This window comes from Homo sapiens, chromosome 8, assembly GCF_000001405.40.
Source record: "Homo sapiens chromosome 8, GRCh38.p14 Primary Assembly".
NCBI lineage: Eukaryota > Metazoa > Chordata > Mammalia > Primates > Hominidae > Homo > Homo sapiens.
Window position 1 is genome coordinate 43,094,871 of NC_000008.11, and position 19,555 is coordinate 43,114,425.

Below are 19,555 nucleotides of genomic sequence, written 5' to 3' on the forward strand. Positions count from 1 at the left end.
CCAACCTGCCCCACCATCTTTATTCCTTAATGTGCAGGCTGTTTTCAGGACCAGTAAATTTCAGTGGTTTTTGCTTACTTCTGGACACGAAAGTTCCTTTAGCCACACAGCCTCATGCTATGCTCTGGGCGGCCTACTCCAGAATATGCCTGTGAAACAAAAAAGCAAATCGGGGTTGAGGTGGGCTGAAGTCTTCTTTAAGAAACCGGCAGTCCCAGGGTACCCCAGCCCAGCCCCTAGCTGACCACGCTGGGTTTGATTTAGTTCAACTCCCGAGCATTGCGGTATTTAGGGGAAGAATGGGCTTGAGGCCAGAAAACTTGGCTCTTCTGTGTATAGTTCAGTGACCTTAGATATATTACTTCACCTCTGACTCAGTTGTCTTATCTGTGAAATGGGAATAACAACAATTACATCCACTTCACAGAATTGGTGTGAAGTTGACAGTGTATAAAAGTCAAATGAATTTTGGGGTATTTTTTTTATTTGTTTTGTTTTGGTTTGGTTTGGTTTGTTTTTGCCGAGAGAGGATTCAGAAGTGAATGTGAGGACTTAGGGATATATAAAAGGTTTTTGGGGCATATGAAATTTGGATTCAGCAAGAAATGCATTAAAGGTTTTCTGAGTAATGCTGAGGGTCCAAGAGAGATTAGAAAATATGCATTTCTAGAGTCCCACAGAGTTTTGTAGCTGATGTTGGCAGCCTTTGAGTGGAAATGAAGAAGTGGACAGGGCAAGTTACATGGGTCTGGTGAATGACAAGCAGATCTGGGTTTATGATGAAGCCTCTAGCCTCTTCACTTGCACAAATACCTTCCAAAACCTTGCACAAATCCTCTTGCCAAAACTCTGGCAAGAGGCTCAGCACTTTTACATTCATAACTATTCTTCTCTTAAGGAATTACCACTCCTTGCCCCAACTTGTATAAGCTTCAGGCCCCATAAAACCTGAATCCACTAGTGGCAAGGAAGGATTGGTGGGAGGTTAGGGGTAAGGAGGGTTGGAGGGTTGAAAGGATTTATCGCAGGGTTTGAGCTGGGAAACTTGGATTGGAGAAGGAGGTGGCAGATGAGGGTCCTCAGAAGACAGGAGCCGTGAGGAGAGGAAGAGCGGATTCCGTGGAGCGAACACAGGAGAGGGAAAGCAGCCTGTGCGGCTGAGGCCATGAAGAGGGAGAGGTGCAGAGTGACCAGGCAGTTGGTGCGTCTTTGCCGAGTACCCGCTGTGTGCCAGGCACTGGGGTGCAGTGGTGAACAGGACAGGCAGGCAGGCTTCTTGGTGCTCAGAATCTAGAGGAAGCCGGGGCCTGGGTATCCCAGAAAGGGAGCCTTTGAGGAAAGCTCAGGGGCCAGAGAGTGTGGTGCAGGGAGGGTTTAGGGAAGCAGATAGGGGCTAGATTTCAGGAGGCCACATAAGAGTTTGGACTTGATCCTGTGGGCCGAGTGGGGGGCTGTTGAATGTTAAGCAAGGTGGGATCAGATCCGTGCTTTAGAAAGCTCTCCCTGCATGGGCCGGACATGGTGGCTCATGCCTGTAATCCCAGCACTTTGGGAAGCCAAGGTGGGCGGATCACGAGGTCAGGAGATTGAGACCATCTGGCCAACATAGTGAAACTCCGTCTCTATTAAAATACTAAAATTAGCTGGGCATGGTGGCACGTGCCTGTAATCCCAGCTCTGTAATCCCAGCTACTCAGGAGGCTGAGGCAGGAGAATCCCTTTAACAAGGGAGTCAGAGGTTGCAGTGAGCTGAGATTGTGCTATAGCACTCCAGCCTGGTGACAGAGTGAGACTCCTTCTCAAAAAAAGAAAAAAGAAAAAAAAGAAAGCTCTCCCTGCATGTATCAGAGAAACTTCCATGTATGCCTGGGGAGATGTATACACAGCTTGTCTCACTAATTGTGGAAAAGTCAAACCAGTTGAAAATAGTGAACTGAGTTTTGTGCATCTGCATGGATAAATCTCAGAAATGTAATGTTGAGCTTTTAAAAAAAACTGGTTGCAGGAGGATAATACCAGCCCATCACTGTTTGTATAAAGCTTGAAAACATATGTATGATTTATGGGCACATACTTGTGAAAATAAGCATGTATGAGAAGCGGAGTTTGGTAACCCATCCCTGTAGTCAGTCCCAGCTGCTTGGGAGGTGGAGGCAGGAGGATCACTTGAGTCTAGCCTGGGCAACATAGTGAGACTCCATGTCTTAAGTAGATAGATAAGTAGGTAGGTAAATAGATAAGATCGATTAGATAGATAGACAGCATGTATAGGAATTATATACACCAGTGGTTTTCAGACTTTAGCATGCATCCAAATCACCTAGAGGATTTATTAAAACACAGATGTTCATTTCTGATTCAGTAGGTTTGGAGTGTGGACCCAAGAATTTGCATTTCTCCCAGGTTCCTGGGCTATGACGCCACAGGTCTGGGGAGCACAGTTTGAGAATCTCTGATGTCCACCAACTTGAAGATAGTGATCACTTCTTGAGGGGGAGTAGAATTGGATGGGGAGGAGTCCAGAGGGTCTTCAACTCTATTTGTAATATTTAATTTCTTTAAAAAAAGATCTGAAAAAATGATGCAGTGTGACTTGACAAAGCTGGATGAATGCTTATGATTTTTTTTTTCTCTGTGTGTGAAACACTTAAAGAAAAAGGATCCTGTTTGCTGTGTAATCCTGAGAATGGACTGCAAGAGAGGAAAAACTGGGCGTCTGCTTGGGAATCTATTGTGGAAACCCAGGTGAGAGGTGCTGCTGGCTCACGCAGCGGGGTGGAGGGGAAGGGCAGCAAGGAAGGAGATATGCAAGCAGTTGTGAGGGAGGTTTTGGTGGGAGCATTGACTGCATGTGGTAATCGGTTGGTTTAGAGTTTAGGGGAGGGAGGAATCAAGTCACACACACCTGGTCTGTAACTTGAGTGGGTGGTTGGGTCATGAGCCCATGACAGAGGGAACCCTGGAGGAGGGGCCTGTGGGGACTGGGGAGTTCTGCAGTGGACATCCCATACCTTGATAGGCCAGTGAGCAAAGCATAGGAGAGACCTGGGCTGCAGTGCAGACTTAGAAAGCAGCAGAGTTCAGATGGCTGCTAGTGTCCCAGGTGTGGGTGAGGTTACCTGGGTCTTTGGCAGACCTGGAGGAATGCCATCACCTAAGGCAGGGCTTGGCCAACCACAGCTTCTGCTTGTTTTTGCGTAGCCTGAGAGCTGGGAATGCTTTTATCTTTTTAAATGTTAGGGGGAGACTTCAAGGAAGATATAATTCACAAACCATAACATTTGACATTTTAAAGTGTACAATTCAGTGATATTTAGCATATTTACAAGGTTGTACAATCATCATCACTGTCTAATTCAGGAACATTTTAGCCAAAAAGAGACCCCATCCCTGTCAGCAGCTATTCCACCCCCTGCCTCCCCAGCCTCTGGGAGCCACAAATCTATGTTCTGTGTCTGAATTTGCTGTTTCTGGACATTTCATGTAAATGGAATCTTACAGCATGTGGCCTTTTTGTCAGGCTTATTTCACTGAGCATGATGTTTCCAGGGTTCACCCATGTTGCAGCATGAATTAGTGCTTTATTTTTTATGGCTGAATAATATTCCATTTATGGATGTACCACATTTTGTCTATCCATTCATCTGCCAATGGACACTTGGCTTGTTTCCACTGTTTGGCAGTTGTGGATAATGCTTCCGTGAACATTCATGTATGAGTGTGTGTGTGAGTGTGTGTGTTTTCATAGGTACATACTGGGCAGTGGAGTTGCTGGGTCGTGTGGTGACTGTGCTTAACCTTTTGAGGAGCGGCCAGACTGCTTTCCACAGTGGCTGCATTTTACTTTCTCACCAGTGATGTTTGAGGATTTCAGTTTTTCCACATTCCCCTATGTTGTTACTGATTTTTGTATTATAGCCATCCTCATGGGTGTAAAATGCCATCTTGTCACACTTCTGATCTGCGTTTGCCTTGATGACTGGTGAAGCTGAGCATCTTTCATGTATGTGCCTGTTGGCCATCTGTGTATCTACTTTGGAGAAATGTCTGTTCAAGTCCTTTGCCCATTTTAAAAATTTTATTTGTTTATTTTTTTGAGACAGGGTCTCACTGTCACTCAGGCTGGAGTGTTGTGGCACGATCACAGCTCACTGCAGCCTTGGTCTCCTGGACTCAAATGATCCTCCCACCTCAGCCTCCTGAGTAGCTGGGCCTATAGGCACAGGCCAACATGCCTGGCTAATTTTTAAATTTAGTTTTTGTAGACAGGAGGTCTTACTATGTTACCCTGGCTGGTCTGGAACTCCTAGGCTCAAGCGATCCTCCCACCTTGGCCTCCCAAAGTGCCGGGATTACAAGTGTGAGCCACCAATGCCTGACCCTTTGCACATTTTTAAATTGAGTTGTTTTTTTTGAATCTTTTGAGTTGTTCACCAGACATCCACATGGAGATGTCAAGGAAGCAAGCCTTGGGTTCTGAGGAGAGGCTGGGAATGGAGTTTTACCTTTGGAAGTTGTCAGCAGGCAGCGATGAAAAGTCCTGAGTCTGGGTGAGCTCTCCCAGGGAGTGTGGCAGAGGCCTGAGCTCTGAACTCTGGGGGACCCCACTACGTGGACTCAGAGATGAGGAGCTGCCAGAATGTAGTTTCCTGGAAACCAATTATATAAGGCGTTTAAGGAGGGAGTTATCAATCACGGTAGATGCTATTGATAGATCAAGGAAGACTGGGGCTGTGCTTTGACTGTTGTGTTTAGTGATGTGGAGGCCACCTGTGCTGACTGTGATAAGGTCAGTTTGGGTGCAGTGGCAGTGAGTTGGAGAGAATGAGAGGACAGAGCTGGGCGTGGGGTTTGCCTGAGCTGGGCTCGGGGCCAGTTTCATGGTAACACACTGTTTGTAGTAATAGGAGAGTGCAGGAACCTGGGGTGGGGCTTGGGAACTGGTGGAAATGCTCTCTGATTGCTTCTGTTTTTCTAGTAAAATAGGATGATCTCGTTAGATGATCAGCTGAGAGTGAAGGTGGGGGAACAGGTGGTACATGTTTGGAGAAGGAGAGTGTGAGCTTCCAGCTAGCCTAAGGCCACTCGGGACACACCTATCACTTTTATTGACTCACTGCAATAAGCGAGGCTGCATACTGGCGGGACTTGCATATCTTCATCAGAGGGACAGAGAGTCATCTGAGAGGGCACAGGGCAGGAGTCCTTCGGGGCCTCTCTGACCTGGCCCGGGGCAGGGAGCTGGGGATGGAAGTGCCATGAGTGCAAATAGGGAGCAGGGGGTCAGAGGAACAGAGGATATGGGAATGGGTGGTGGAGCCGGGAGAGACTGGAGCTTTGCCAATGGGGGCCTGGGCTGAGCAGGGCTCAGAGCATGTGGTGATGAGCCTTATGGCAGGTGAGGCTCAAGGCCCAGTGTGTGCTTAGGGAAGTGGGCAGCAGAGCGGGTGAGGGACCCGTGGGTGTATCACAGGGGTAGGGTGTTGAGGAAGTTCCAAAGCAAGCTAATAGGGGTTATGGCTGGAGAGAGGCCCAGTGTGTGTGCTAATGGGGGATAGTGTGGTAGAGGCACCAGGGTGTGTGCTAATAGGCCTCTGAGGCCTCGTGTGTGGTGATGGGGGTGTGTATGGTGTTAGTGCTGTGTGTGTGTCTGTGGGGGCCTGCAGGGTAGGAGAGAATGGGGTGCTTATGGAGGGGAGGTGGTTGAAGGACTCAAGTGCTGGGTGTGCGCTTGTGGGGGTTGTGCCGTGGTGGGTGTGTGCATGCGCTAATAAAGGTCTGGGTAGTTGGAGCCCAGTGCATGCTAATGGAACAGAGCTGGAGGGACCTCATGGAGGGATCTGATGGAGGGAGGACGGTGGGAGACCTGAGCCTGTGCTAGCGGGGATGAGGATTGTGGATCTCTGTGAGGTAGGGGGTGGTGGTGGTGCGGGAAGGGTCTTGGTACCGTCAGAGGCCCGGTGCGCTAAGGGTCAAGTTGGTGTGAGGTGCACGTGTGTCCCTGAGCACGAGGACACTCTAGGAAGGGGCAGCCGGATGGTTTAAGGCGTTCTAGAGGCTGCTACTGTGGGTTTAGAGCCATAGAGGCACTGAAGTGTGTGCCATTGCTGGGAGAGTCAGCAGTGTGAGGTCTGGAGTACGCTCAAGAGCGCCAGAACAGTATGAGCTTGTGTGCTTGCATCTGTGGGGTACTGGAATGTGTTGAGGTTCCAGGGAATACTGATGCAGGGGATGAGTAGAGCCGTGGAGGGGATAAAAATAAATTTAAAAGGCCAGGTGCAGTGGCTCATGCCTGTAATCCCAGCAATTTGGGAGGCTGACGCAGGAGGATTGCTTGAGGCCAGGAGTTCAAGGCCAGCCTGAGCAACATCGTGAGACCCAGTCTCTACAAAAAAAAATACAAAAATTAGCTGGATGTGGTGATGCGCACCTGTAGTCCCAGCTACTAAGGAGGCAGAGGTGACAGGATTGCTTGAGTTTGAGGCTGCATTGAGCTATGATTGCACCACTGCACTCCAGCCCGAGTGACAGAGTCAGACCCTATGTCAAAAAAAAAAAAAAAAAAAAGGAAGAAAATCATAGAATTTTGGAGATGAGTAAAGTTTAGGCAAATTTAAATGAAGTAGTGTTTTGATGGGCTCAAAGCCATGTAGAACTGAGTGTAAAGGGGCCAAGATCTAGTCTGGACTGCAAAGTGGTCCTCTTTCCTTGGAGACTACCAGGTTAACATAGATGTGCAGGATTATCTCCAGAAACTCCTTATCTGAAGGTCTGCCCTGTTTGGGAACTGAGGTTGCTTCTGTGTGTCAGAGTGACTTTGATCCTCCAGGAAAGCATGGGATGTTTTATCCCAACTGATAAGACTTCAAACTGCAAAATTTCTGGTAGTCTGTGATTGTAGAGAACAGAATTTCTAGGTAGTAAAAAAGGAGTCTTCATCCAAAGGGGGTTTTTGACACTTTATGGCTGCAGTGTGTTCTAAGGAGAAATGCCGTTTCCTGTTAACTTTGTGGTTTCATTGACGTCTTGTCCCAGCTCTGTATATGGGAGTGGATTTTGTTTTCTCAAGGAGGAGGTAGGAACAAGCTTCCTGTCCTGGATTTTTCATGGCTGGCTCCTCTCAGGCCTCTAGTCACAGTGTGAAGGTCACCTCCTTAGAGAGGTCTCCTGGGATGCTTCCTCCAGGGAGTTCCTACACAGTTACTCTCTATCTTTGAACCCCCATCACAGGATGATGATAGACCTATTTGTTTACTTGTTTATTGTCTGTCTTCCCCACTAGACTTTTCCCCTAAGCTCCAGCAGGATAGGAACCATGCTGGTGTAATTCACTGTGTGTGAATGTCTCCAGCACCCACTGCAGGGCTGGGCACATAGAAGCTGCTCAGGACATGTTGCGGGAATGAGCAGCTGGAAGTCAGTGATGGAGAAGAAGAGAGCAGACTGGGACAGAGAGACTCTGATGGGCTTCCCCACGGCCCTGCTCTGTCCTGGGGCTTGAGAACCTGAGGAAACCTGGACTTGAGGCAGGAGGAGGGCCCTGGGAAAGTTGGACCGTTTGGACTATGGCGATTTGTCTGGGTACATAGCTGCAGTTTCTGTTTACACACTTCCTGTTTGGTACTTTGTGGCAGGGTGTTTCCCGACCAGTCCCTGGGCGCCAACTAGAGTATGGACTGACCAGGTACCTGGATGGAGACCTGAGCTGGAGAAGGAGATGCGCTTGGGAGGTAACCCTGCATGTCACAGCTGTCTCTGACCCAGTTCTGTCCCAGTGCCCCAGCATTCCAGTGCTGTTTAGCTGGCTCCCACTGGCATGGCCACATCCACTGTTAAAGTCTCCATATACTTCCATTCTGCTCCATTCTGCTTCTGTAAATCACCTCTGCCATCCACGGTCCTACTTCAGGCTTCTCCGCAGCCAGGCCCCTCCACCATGGCCTTGCACGGCTCCAGCGGTAGAGCCCACACATTATCAGTGGTTACTTATCGCTGGTGTGACATCTGAGTGGTCATCTCTCCAATCTCATCGCTGTTATTCTAGCTCATGTACTTGTCAGCTCCTGTCCGTGGTCATAACCAGGGCTTCTTAATAACTGGTCTCCCAGCCTCAGTCTCTTTCACCCCAAATCTACCTTTCATAACTGCTGAAGAGTAGCTTTTATTTCTTAAAACTGTTGAGGGGATTCTGAGTACCTCCCAGGGAACAGGACAGCTGCTTAGCTGAGTTCGACAGAGGCCCTCAGCTTCCCAGCCTCCACCTGCTACCCTAAGCAGCCTCCTTCTGCTGTCCTTTGTCCACCCTCTGTCCCTGTCCCACCAGTTGACTAATACATTTTGCTTTCATTTTACTGAATATTCATGAGCATCTATTTAATGCATGCTACTGTGAGTCGGACAGAGTCAGACACAAACACCTCCCACCTAACCTAATCTAGAGGAACCCGCATTTTAGTTTGTAATAAAAAGTAATGATTATGGAAACAGCTAACATTGGGCATTTGGGATAAGCCTGGTGTTCGATACCTGCTTTAATCCCCACGGTAACGCTGCAGCTTACAGGACCCTTGAGTAGAAGAGGCATCAGAACACATTTTTGGAAATGAAAGGAAGTGAAAGCTGACTGTCATGACTTCTTGTTTCATTGTGTATTTTAGGAAATTGCAGAGGCCGTCAACATGGAAAAGCAGCCCCAGAACAGCAGGAGAGGCCTCGCCCCCCGAGAGGTGCCGCCAGCTGTTGGGCTGCTGCTGATCATGGCCCTGATGAATACTCTGCTCTACCTCTGCCTCGACCACTTCTTCATCGCTCCTCGACAATCCACTGTGGACCCCACACACTGTCCCTATGGTCACTTCAGGATAGGACAGATGAAAAACTGCTCACCTTGGCTGTCCTGCGAGGAGCTGAGAACAGAAGTGAGACAGCTGAAGCGTGTTGGGGAAGGAGCTGTAAAGAGAGTGAGTCCGGGTTCATTTGCGATTGCTGTCATCCTGTTATTTCGCTTAACACAGTGTCCTCCAGCTCCATCCATGCTGGCACGGATTACGGAATTTCATCCTTTGTTACTGCCAAAGTGTACTCCATTGCATATGTGCACCACATTTGCTTTGGTTGATTCTGTATCTTGGCAATTGTGAATAGTGCTGCAGTAGGCATAGGTTTCAGCCCTTAGGGAAGCAGTGTGGCATCCAGTGTTAGGAGCCCTGCTAGCTCTACGTTTTTATTGTTGAGCTCAATAATCTTACATCTGGCACTTTATCTTTTTTTTTTTGAGAGTCTCGCTCTGTCACCCAGGCTGGAGTGCAATGGCGCCATCTCGGTGCACTGCAATCTCCACCTCCTGGGTTCAAGTGATTCTCGTGACTCAGCCTCCCGAGTAGCTGGGACTATGGGCATATGCCACCACGCCTGGCTAATTTTTTAATTTTAGTAGAGATGGGGTTTCACCATGTTGGCCAGGCTGGTCTTGAACTCCTGACCTTAAGTGATCTACCTGCCTCGGCCTCCCAATCGGACTTTATCTTAATAAGTAATCCAAGGCAGGAAAAAAGTCAAATGCATAAAAGAGTGCCATAGTGATAGAAAACTAGAAACAAAACTTTTAGAATAGTTCATTAAATGATGGTCCATCCACTTGACGGAATATTCTGCAACTGTTGTGTAGTTAGGAACCCCAAGAGGCAACATGAATAAAACCTTATGATGATAAGTGAAGAAAACAAGATATAAAATTGTATAATTGACTTTTCAACTGTGAAATTACGTGTATATGTAGATAAATACAAAAATGGTCAGGCGCAGTGTCTTATACATGTAATCCCAGCACTTTGGGAGGCGGAGGTGGGCGGATTACTTAAGCACAGGAGTTCCAGACCAACCTGGGCAACATGGCAAAACCCAGTTTCTACAAAAATACAAAAATTAGCCTGGCATAATGGTGCGCACTACTTGGGAAGCTCAGGTGGGAGAATCTCTTGAGCCTGGGGAGTTTGAGGCTACAGTAAGCCATGATCTTGCCACTGCATTCCAGACTGGGTGACAGAGCAAGATGCTGTCTCCAAAGGAAAAAAAAAATATGAAAATGATAGAAATTGTGCTAGGGTGAAAGGGGGATTATGGGCAATTTCTTTTCCTGTTTTTCAAACTCTGTGATGGTATTATACTGATTTTTAACAATTTATTTTTAATTGGCATGTAATAATTATCCATATTTATGGGGTACACAGTGATGTTTCCATACCTACTTACAGTGTGTAGTTAGCGGATCAGGGCATATCTGCCATCTCAAACATGTATCACTTCTTTTGGTTGGGAACATTCAATATCTTCTCTTCTGGCTATTTGAGAGTGTATAATATATTGTTAATTATAGTCATCCTATGGTGCTATGAAACACTGGAACTTGCTTCTCTTATCTAGCTGTAATTTTGTATCCTTTAACAAATCTCTGCCTATCCTCGCCTTTGCTCTACCCTTCCCAGCCTCTAGAAAACTGTTAGGCTTTTTACTTCTTTGAGTAAGCTTTTTTAAACTTCTGCATATGAATGAGAACTTGTAGTGTTTAACTTTCTGTTCCTAGTTTATTTCACGTAACATAATGTCCTCCAGTTCCTTTCATGTTGCCATAAATGACAGATTTCCTTCTTTTTTATAGCTGAATAGTATTCTATTTTGTGTATATATACCACATTTTCTTTATCCATTCATCTGCTGAAGGACACTTAGGTTGATTCCATATCTTGGCTATTGTGAATAGTGCTGCAATAAACATCGGGATGCACATATCTCTTTTTTTGTTGTTGTTTTTTGAGACGGAGTTTCCCTCTTGTTGCCCAGGCTGGAGTGCAATGATGCAGTCTCGACTCACTACCACCTCCACTTCTGGGTTCAAGCAATTCTCCTGCCTCAGCCTCCTGAGTAGCTGGAGTTACAGGCATGTGCCACCATGCCCGGCTAATTTTATATTTTTAGTAGAGATGGGGTTTCTCCATGTTGGCCAGGCTGGTCTTGAACTCCTGACCTTGTGATCCACCCACCTTGGCCTCCCAAAGTGCTGGGATTACAGGCGTGAGCCACTTAGCCTGGCTGTGCATATCTCTTTGATATATTGATTTCCTTTCCTTTGGATATATACCCAGTAGTGGAATTGCTGGATCATATGTTAGTTCTGTTTGTAATTTTCTGCGGAACCTCCATACTGTTTTCCATAATGGCTGTACTAATTTACATTCTCACTAACAGAGTATAAGCGTTCCCATTTCTCTGCATCTTCACCAGCATTTGTTATTTTTTGTCTTTTTGATAATGGCCATCCTAACTGGGGTGAGATGGTATCTCATTGTGATTTTGGTTTGCATTTTCCTGATGATTAGTAACATTGAGCATTTTTTCACAAATTTATTGGCCATTTGTATGTCTTCTTTCGAGAATGTCAGTTTAGATCATTTGCCCATTTTTTGATCATATTGTTATTTTTTTCTGTTGAGATGTTTGAGTTCCTTGGATATTGATCCCTTGTTAGATGAATAGCTTGCAAATATTTTCTCCCATTATGTAGTTTGTCTCTTAACTCTATTTGTTTCCTTTGCTGGGAAGAAGGTTTTTGGTTTGTTATAATCCCATTGGTTTACTTTTGCTTTTTTTTTTTTTTTTTTTTGACTGAGTCTTGCTCTATCGCCCAGGCTGGAGTGCTGTGACATGATCTTGGCTCACCGCAACCTCCACCTCCCAGGTTCAAGAGATTCTCGTGCCTCAGCCTCCTGAGTAGCTGGGATTACAGGCGCCCACCACCATGCCTGTATTTTTAGTAAAAATGGGGTTTCTCCATGTTGGCCAGGCTGGTCTTGAACTCTTGACCTCAGGTGATCCGCCCTCCTCGACCTCCCAAAATGCTGGGATTACAGGCATGAGCCACTGGGCCCAGCCCTCAGTTATAATTTTGCAAAGGCGGTTTCAATCCCTCCCTTTGGGGTTTTGTAGCATCTTATTCTTAAGGTGTGGGCTATGAAGATGGAAAAAGGCCATTGATCACTCTAGCTTCTTCATGCTGACAGGGGGCATAGTTGGGGTCGGAGTTGACCCTAAGGTGAGAGGAGTAGAACTGCTTTGCAGCTGTCTGAGTATATTCATGCAGGCCGGGCTGTGGTTCCAAGGCTTTCGTGACAAAGGCAGTAGTATCTTTATAGTTTTAGTACAGCATTTAAACAGACAGTCTACTATAAGGTAAATAATGAGTTTTAGGATAAGGAGTGCAATTTCCAGTTTTAAAAGTAAAGGTTTGAAAGCATTAGTCTGGGGACTTATAGTCCACAAAAATATTAGGATTTAGTCTAAATTGAAGAAAAAAAAAACTAACAACATGTGTACCATAGTTTTTGGAACATAATTTTTCTCTCTTTAGTCCTTATTTTTATTAAAACAAATCACGATAGGACTGATTTGTTGGCAAAATAAACTTTAATTTTATTATGCTTGGCCTGATTATTTGCATAAAGCGCATCAGTAATACTTTTTTTTTCCGAGATGGAGCCTTGCTCTGTCGCCCAGGCTGGAGTGCAGTGGCGTGATCTCAGCTCACTGCAACCTCCGCCTCCCGGGTTCAAGCAGTTTTCCTGCCTCAGCCTCCTGAGTAGCTGGGATTACAGGTGAGTGCCACCACACCTGGCTAATTTTTGTATTTTTAGTAGAGACAGGGTTTCACCACGTTGGTCAGGCTGGTCTCGAACTCCTGACCTCGTGATCTGCCTGCCTTGGTCTCCCAAAGTGCTGGGATTACAGGCATGAATCAGTAATCACCTGGCAAGAATACTTTTTTTTTTTTTGGTAGAGATGGAGTCTTGCTCCGTCACCCAGGCTGGATTGCAGTGGTGTGATTGTGGCTTACTGCAACCTCCGCCTCCCGGGTTCAAGCAATTCTTCTGCCTCAGCCTCTCGAGTAGCTGGGACTATAGGTGCACGTCGCCATGCCTGGCTGATTTCTTTTGTATTTTAGTAAAGACGGGGTTTCACTGTGTTGCCCAGGCTGGTCTTGAACTCCTGAGCTCAGGCAATCCGCCTGCCTTGGCCTCTCAAAGTACTAGGATTACAGGCATGAGCCTCTGCGCCTGGCTAGAATAATTATTTTTTACATAGGCTTTTTAAATTGCCTTTGATGGAACTCTGTTCCATAAGGAATCTCAGATAAGACTTTCTAAAGCTGAGTCCAGCCATAGGTTTGTACCTTCAAATACTTATGAGTTGGGTAAGTTCCTCTCCTCTTGATGCCCCTAGATAACTTGGGGCTCCTGGGCCTGTCAGAAAGTGACATTCTATACTTACCATGGGTCAGGAACCCTGTACAGGGACTGTGTAGACAAAGTATGAGCTCAGTTTTCCCAAGGGCTTTTACTGGCTTTACAAGTACAAGTCAAGGTTGATTCCATAAAGGAAAGCATGCCATTCTAGTCAAACCCTTGGTAAAATAACCAGTGTTTTCAATAGTGTCCTGTTACAAAAGAAAACAGATTCTTATTGTATTTATGAAAATAACTGTATTGCCATAAATTAAGAATACTCACAAATAGTTTTTAAATTCTGGAGAAATCAAGTAGAAACAAATATGCGCCAAATTTTATTCACAGGAGTGTACTTTACTCAGTTGCTACAAGCTGTAAATAGCTTAAAAGAAATTTCCCTGACTCTGAAAAAGCAAAGAATCAGCAGCATTTTAAACAAAAAGGTTACTTCAGACTTTTATTAGTTTAGTCCATGCATTTAACTTCTGTTTGATATTTATGAACATTTCAGCTTTCCATGAGAGTTCTAAAAGTTTTTTTCCTTTATTCTATGTCATAATCTCCAGAGTTATCAGAAACTTGCATTCAAGAGCACATATCAAAGTTTTATAGCTGATTATAAAACCATCTTCTAAAGAGGACCAAATTAAAACAGCAGTTATCTTTGGATGAGAAAAGCATTTTAGGGAAGCCACAAAGACACAATTAACAAGGAAATTTGTGAATCTGTGGCACACAATAATTCAACACAACAGTTATTACTGATGACATATACTGAGTCATATCAGAATTGTAGGAATTTTATACAGTTTTGCAGCACGTAACTTTATATCACAAATTTATATGAATATAACCCAAAGAAAGTTAAGCACCATTTTCTATTTGACAGTGTTTCCTGCATGATTTTAATACATTAAATAAGCTGAATATGTCTTTTGTACTTTAGGGGACTTAATTTTTAAAAATTTTTTATTTTAACTTAGAGCTTGATTTTGAAAGGTTTGTTAAATACCAAACGTTTAAAACATTGGATATTACAAAATGGAGTCTTAGGTTTCCGTAAGTCATTCATTTAGCCAAAGTAACTCAAAAATTTTCAAAAGGAAAAACCATTATTCTGGTAGGAGACTCAGCTTTCCAAACAAGACCCAATGAAGGTAGCATGAGGCTGATTGCCTCCTCTCTCTCCCCTCCCCCTTTTTTCTTTTGTAGTTTACTTAAAAGGTAAATAAAAACCTTTCATTATCTTTTAATATTCCATAAAAATCCTTTTTAAAAGAGAAAACTGAATTTTATGTTTCCATTAGTGTATTTTTAACGTTAAAGCCAGTTTTAATTACATCTTATAAATCTGTCTAGTTCTAATTAGTTTGACCATAAGGTAAGATTTTTTTTTTATTTTTTATTTTTTTCAAGACGCAGTCTCTCTCTGTTGCCCAGGCTGGAGTGCAATGGCATGGTCTCGGCTCACTGCAGCCTCCATCTCCTGGGTTCAAGTGATTCTCCTGCCTCAGCCTCCCGAGTAGCTGGGACTATAGGCATGTGCCACCACACCTGGCTAATTTTTGTATTTTTAGTAGAGACAGGGTTTCACTATGTTGGCCAGGCTGGTCTCGAACTCTTGACCCCTTGATCTACCTGCCTCAGCCTCCCAAAGTGTTGGTATAACAGGCGTGAGCCACCACACCTGGCTTGCCATAAGGTAAGATTTTTATGAATCTTTTATAACCCTTTACAATTTTGTTTTTTTCTTAGAACAAAACTGTTTTAAGAAAACTCTGTTGTGCTTTTATTCCAATTTCCAATTTATGGAAAAACTGCATAACGTGACTTAAACTTTAGCCAATATGTTCACACACAGAATCTCTTACAATTAAGTTTTTATAACCCTTTCACAACTTGTTCAAACCTTTAGACTTTTCCTATCTCATTTAAAACAGTCCGTTAACACTCTAAACTTAGGCAAGAAATCCACATTCCCATGCCTTCTCATAATCTTTTACCAAAAGTACATTTTACTTCCCTTACATGCCTCGTGTATAGAACTGTTTCTTCAGTAGTCTCAAGTGCATATTACACTGTTAACTCAATGACTTTTACTTTTGGTGGAAAGCCTGGTGAGTAAGCAATTTCAATTACGTACCAGGAGTGGAGCCTAGGACACCAGAAGGTCTGACTGTTTCCAGTGTAGCTAGGGAGTGTGGCTAACTCCACATGTCTCAGGCCTTACCTAGCTATAAAGCAGGCAAGTTGTACAGTAAGAGTCATAGTGGCATTTTATGAAGTATTTAACAGGCCTAACAACCTTTGAATTGTACAACATTTCTTGCATAAATTGCCTTTTCATGAATACGTTCACAACTTACAGAGACCATCTACAACATGCTTGGACTTTCAGACTTTTCCTAAACATCCCTCTTTTTAAACAGTCATTTTACTTTAGGACCAGATTTTACCATACAAGATCTTTTCTTATATAAAATTTCTTGGCTGGGCGTGGTGGCTCACGCCTATAATCCCAGCACTTTGGGAGGCCGGGGCAGAAGGATCACCTGAGGTCAGGAGTTAAGAGACCAGCCAACATGGTAAAACCCCATCTCTATTAGAAATACTAATATTAGCCGGGCGTTGTGCTGGGTGCATATATTCCAAGCTACTCGGGAGGCTGAGGCAGGAGAATTGCTTGAAGCTGAAGCCGGGAGGCGGAGGTTGCAGTGAGCCGAGATCGCGCCATTGCACTCCAGCCTGGGGTACAAGAGTGAGCCTCCGTCTTAAAAAAAAAAAGTCTTGGGGGTGAAGCCAAGATGGCCGAATAGGAACAGCTCCAGTCTACAGCACCCAGTGTGAGCGACGCAGAAGACGGGTGATTTCTGCATTTCCAACTGAGGTACCAGGTTCATCTCACTGGGGAGTGCCGGACAGTGGGTGCAGGACAGTGGGTGCAGCACACCATGCGTGAGCCGAAGCAGGGCGAGGCATTGCCCCACCCGGGAAGCGTAAGGAGTCAGGGAGTCCCTTTTCTAGTCAAAGAAAGTGGAGACAGATGGCACCTGGAAAATCGGGTCACTCCCACCCTAATACTGCACTTTTCCAGCGAGCTCAACAAGTGGCACACCAGGAGATTATATCCTGCACCTGGCTCGGAGGGTCCTACGCCCATGGAGCCTCACTCATTGCTAGCACAGCAGTCTGAGATCAAACTGCAAGGCCGCAGCGAGGCTGGGGGAGGGGCGCCCGCCATTGCTCAGGCTTGAGTAGGTAAACAAAGCAGCTGGGAAGCTCAAACTGGGTGGAGCCCACCACAGCTCAAGGAGGCCTGCCTGCCCCTATAGGCTCCACCTCTGGGGGCAGGGCACAGACAAACAAAAGACAGTAATAACCTCTGCGGACTTAAATGTCCCTGTGTGACAGCTTTGAAGAGAGTAGTGGTTCTCCCAGCATGCAGCTTGAGATCTCAGAATGGGCAGACTACCTCCTCAAGTGGGTCCCTGACCCCCGAGTAGCCTAACTGGGAGGCACCCCCCAGTAGGGGCAGACTGACACCTCACACGGCCAGGTACTCCTCTGAGACAAAACTTCCAGAGGAACGATCGGGCAGCAGCATTTGCGGTTCACCAATATCTGCTGTTCTGCAGCCCCCGCTGCTGATACCCAGGCAAACAGGGTCTGGAGTGGACTTCCAGTAAACTCCAACAAACCTGCAGCTGAGGGTCCTGACTGTTAGAAGGAAAACTAACAAACAGGACGTCCACACCAAAAACCCATCTGTACGTCACCATCATCAAAGACCAAAAGTAGATAAAACCACAAAGATGGGGAAAAAACAGAGCAGAAAAACTGGAAACTCTAAAAATCAGAGCGCCTCTCCTCCTCCAAAGGAACGCAGCTCCTCACCAGCAATGGAACAAAACTGGACGGAGAATGACTTTGATGAGTTGAGAGAGGAAGGCTTCAGATGATCAAACTACTGCGAGCTAAAGGAGGAAGTTCGAACCAATGGGAAAGAAGTTAAAAACTTCGAAAAAAAATTAGACGAATGGCTAACTAGAATAACCAATGCAGAGAAGTCCTTAAAGGACCTGAAGGAGCTGAAAACCACGGCACAAGAACTACGTGACAAATGCACAAGCCTCAGTAACCTATGCGATCAACTGGAAGATAGGGTATCAGTGATGGAAGACGAAATGAATGAAATGAAGCGTGAAGAGAAGTTTAGAGAAAAAATAATAAGAAATGAACAAAGCCTCTAAGAAATGTGGGACTATGTGAAAAGACCAAATCTACGTCTGATTGGTGTACCTGAAGGTGACGGGGAGAATGGAACCAAGTTGGAAAACACTCTGCAGGATATTATCCAGGAGAACTTCCCCAATCTAGCAAGGCAGGCCAACATTCACATTCAGGAAATACAGAGAACGCCACAAAGATACTCCTCGAGAAGAGCAACTCCAAGACACATAATTGTCAGATTCACCAAAGTTGAAATGAAGGAAAAAATGTTAAGGGCAGCCAGAGAGAAAGGTCGGGTTACCCACAAAGGGAAGCCCATCAGACTAATAGCGGATCTCTCAGCAGAAACTCTACAAGCCAGAAGAGAGTGGGGGCCAATATTCAACATTCTTAGAGAAAAGAATTTTCAACCCAGAATTTCATATCCAGCCAAACTAAGCTTCATCAGTGAAGGAGAAATAAAATACTTTACAGACAAGCAAATGCTGAGAGATTTTGTCACCACCAGGCCTGCCCTAAAAGAGCTCCTGAAGGAAGCGCTAAACATGGAAAGGAACAACCGGTACCAGCCACTGCAAAATCATGCCAATTGTAAAGACCATCAAGGCTAGGAAGAAACTGCATCAACTAACGAGGAAAATAACCAGCTAACATCATAATCACAGGATCAAATACACACATAACAATTGGTGAATCTCACAATTATGTGTCTTGGAGTTGCTCTTCTCGAGGAGTATCTTTGTGGCATTTTCTGTATTTCCTGAATCTGAAAGTTGGCCTGCCTTGCTAGATTGTGGAAGTTCTCCTGGATAATATCCTGCAGAGTGTTTTCCAACTTGGTTCCATTCTCCCCATCACTTTCAGGTACACCAATCAGACGTAGATTTGGTCTTTTCACATAGTCTCATATTTCTTGGAGGCTTTGTTCATTTCTTTTTATTCTTTTTTCTCTAAACTTCCCTTCTTGCTTCATTTCTTTCATTTCGTCTTCCATCACTGATACCCTTTCTTCCAGTTGATTGCATCGACTCCTGAGGCTTCTTCACTCTTCATGTAGTTCTCGAGCCTTGGCTTTCAGCTCCATCAGCTCCTTTAAGCACTTCTCTGTATTGGTTATTCTAGTTATACATTCATCTAAATTTTTTCAAAGTTTTCAACTTCTTTGCCTTTGGTTTGAATTTCCTCCTGTAGCTCGGCGTAGTTTGATTGTCTGAAGCCTTCTTCTCTGAACTCGTCAAAGTCATTCTCCGTCCAGCTTTTTTCCGTTGCTGGTGAGGAGGTGCATTCCTTTGGAGGAGGAGAGACGCTCTGCTTTTTAGAGTTTCCAGTTTTTCTGCTCTGTTTTTTCCCCATCTTTGTGGTTTTATCTACTTTTGGTCTTTGATGATGGTGATGTACAGATGGGTTTTTGGTGTGGATGTCCTTTCTGTTTGTTAGTTTTCCTTCTAACAGACAGGACCCTCAGCTGCAGGTCTGTTGGAGTTTGCTAGAGGTCCACTCCAGACCCTGTTTGCCTGGGTACCAGCAGCGGTGGCTGCAGAACAGCGGATTTTCGTGAACCGCGAATGCTGCTGTCTGATCGTTCCTCTGGAAGTTTTGTCTCAGAGGAGTACCCGGCCCCGTGAGGTGTCAGTCTGCCCCTACTGGGGGCTGCCTCCCAGTTAGGCTGCTTGGGGGTCAGGGGTCAGGGACCCACTTGAGGCAGTCTGCCTGTTGTCAGATCTCCAGCTGCGTGCTGGGAGAACCACTGCTCTCTTCAAAGCTGTCAGACAGGGACATTTAAGTCTGCAGAGGTTACTGCTGTCTTTTCGTTTCTCTGTGCCCTGTCCCCAGAGGTGGAGCCTACAGAGGCAGGCAGGCCTCCTTGAGCTGTGGTGGGCTCCACCCAGTTAGAGCTTCCCGGCTGCTTTGTTTACCTAAGCAAGCCTGAGCAATGGCGGGCACCCCTCCCCCAGGCTCGCTGCGGCCTTGCAGTTTGATCTCAGACTGCTGTGCTAGCAATCAGTGAGACTCCGTGGGCGTAGGACCCTCCGAGCCACGTGCGGGAT

At 45.5% G+C, this 19,555-nt stretch overlaps 1 protein-coding gene across 2 annotated transcripts in view; it reads left to right on the top strand.

Annotated features, from left to right (window-relative positions):
- Positions 1-19,555, top strand: part of POMK (protein O-mannose kinase) — a 29,920-nt gene that overhangs the window by 1,356 nt on the left and 9,009 nt on the right. Inside the window, exons 2-4 of one of the 2 annotated variants that reach the window (NM_032237.5) lie at positions 2,654-2,745; positions 7,635-7,730; positions 8,658-8,960. In NM_032237.5, the coding sequence (NP_115613.1) occupies positions 8,679-8,960 (282 nt within the window). In that variant the 5' untranslated portion in view covers positions 2,654-2,745; positions 7,635-7,730; positions 8,658-8,678. The remainder of the gene's footprint in view (positions 1-2,653; positions 2,746-7,634; positions 7,731-8,657; positions 8,961-19,555) is intronic. The other variant, NM_001277971.2, reaches the window with a different exon arrangement.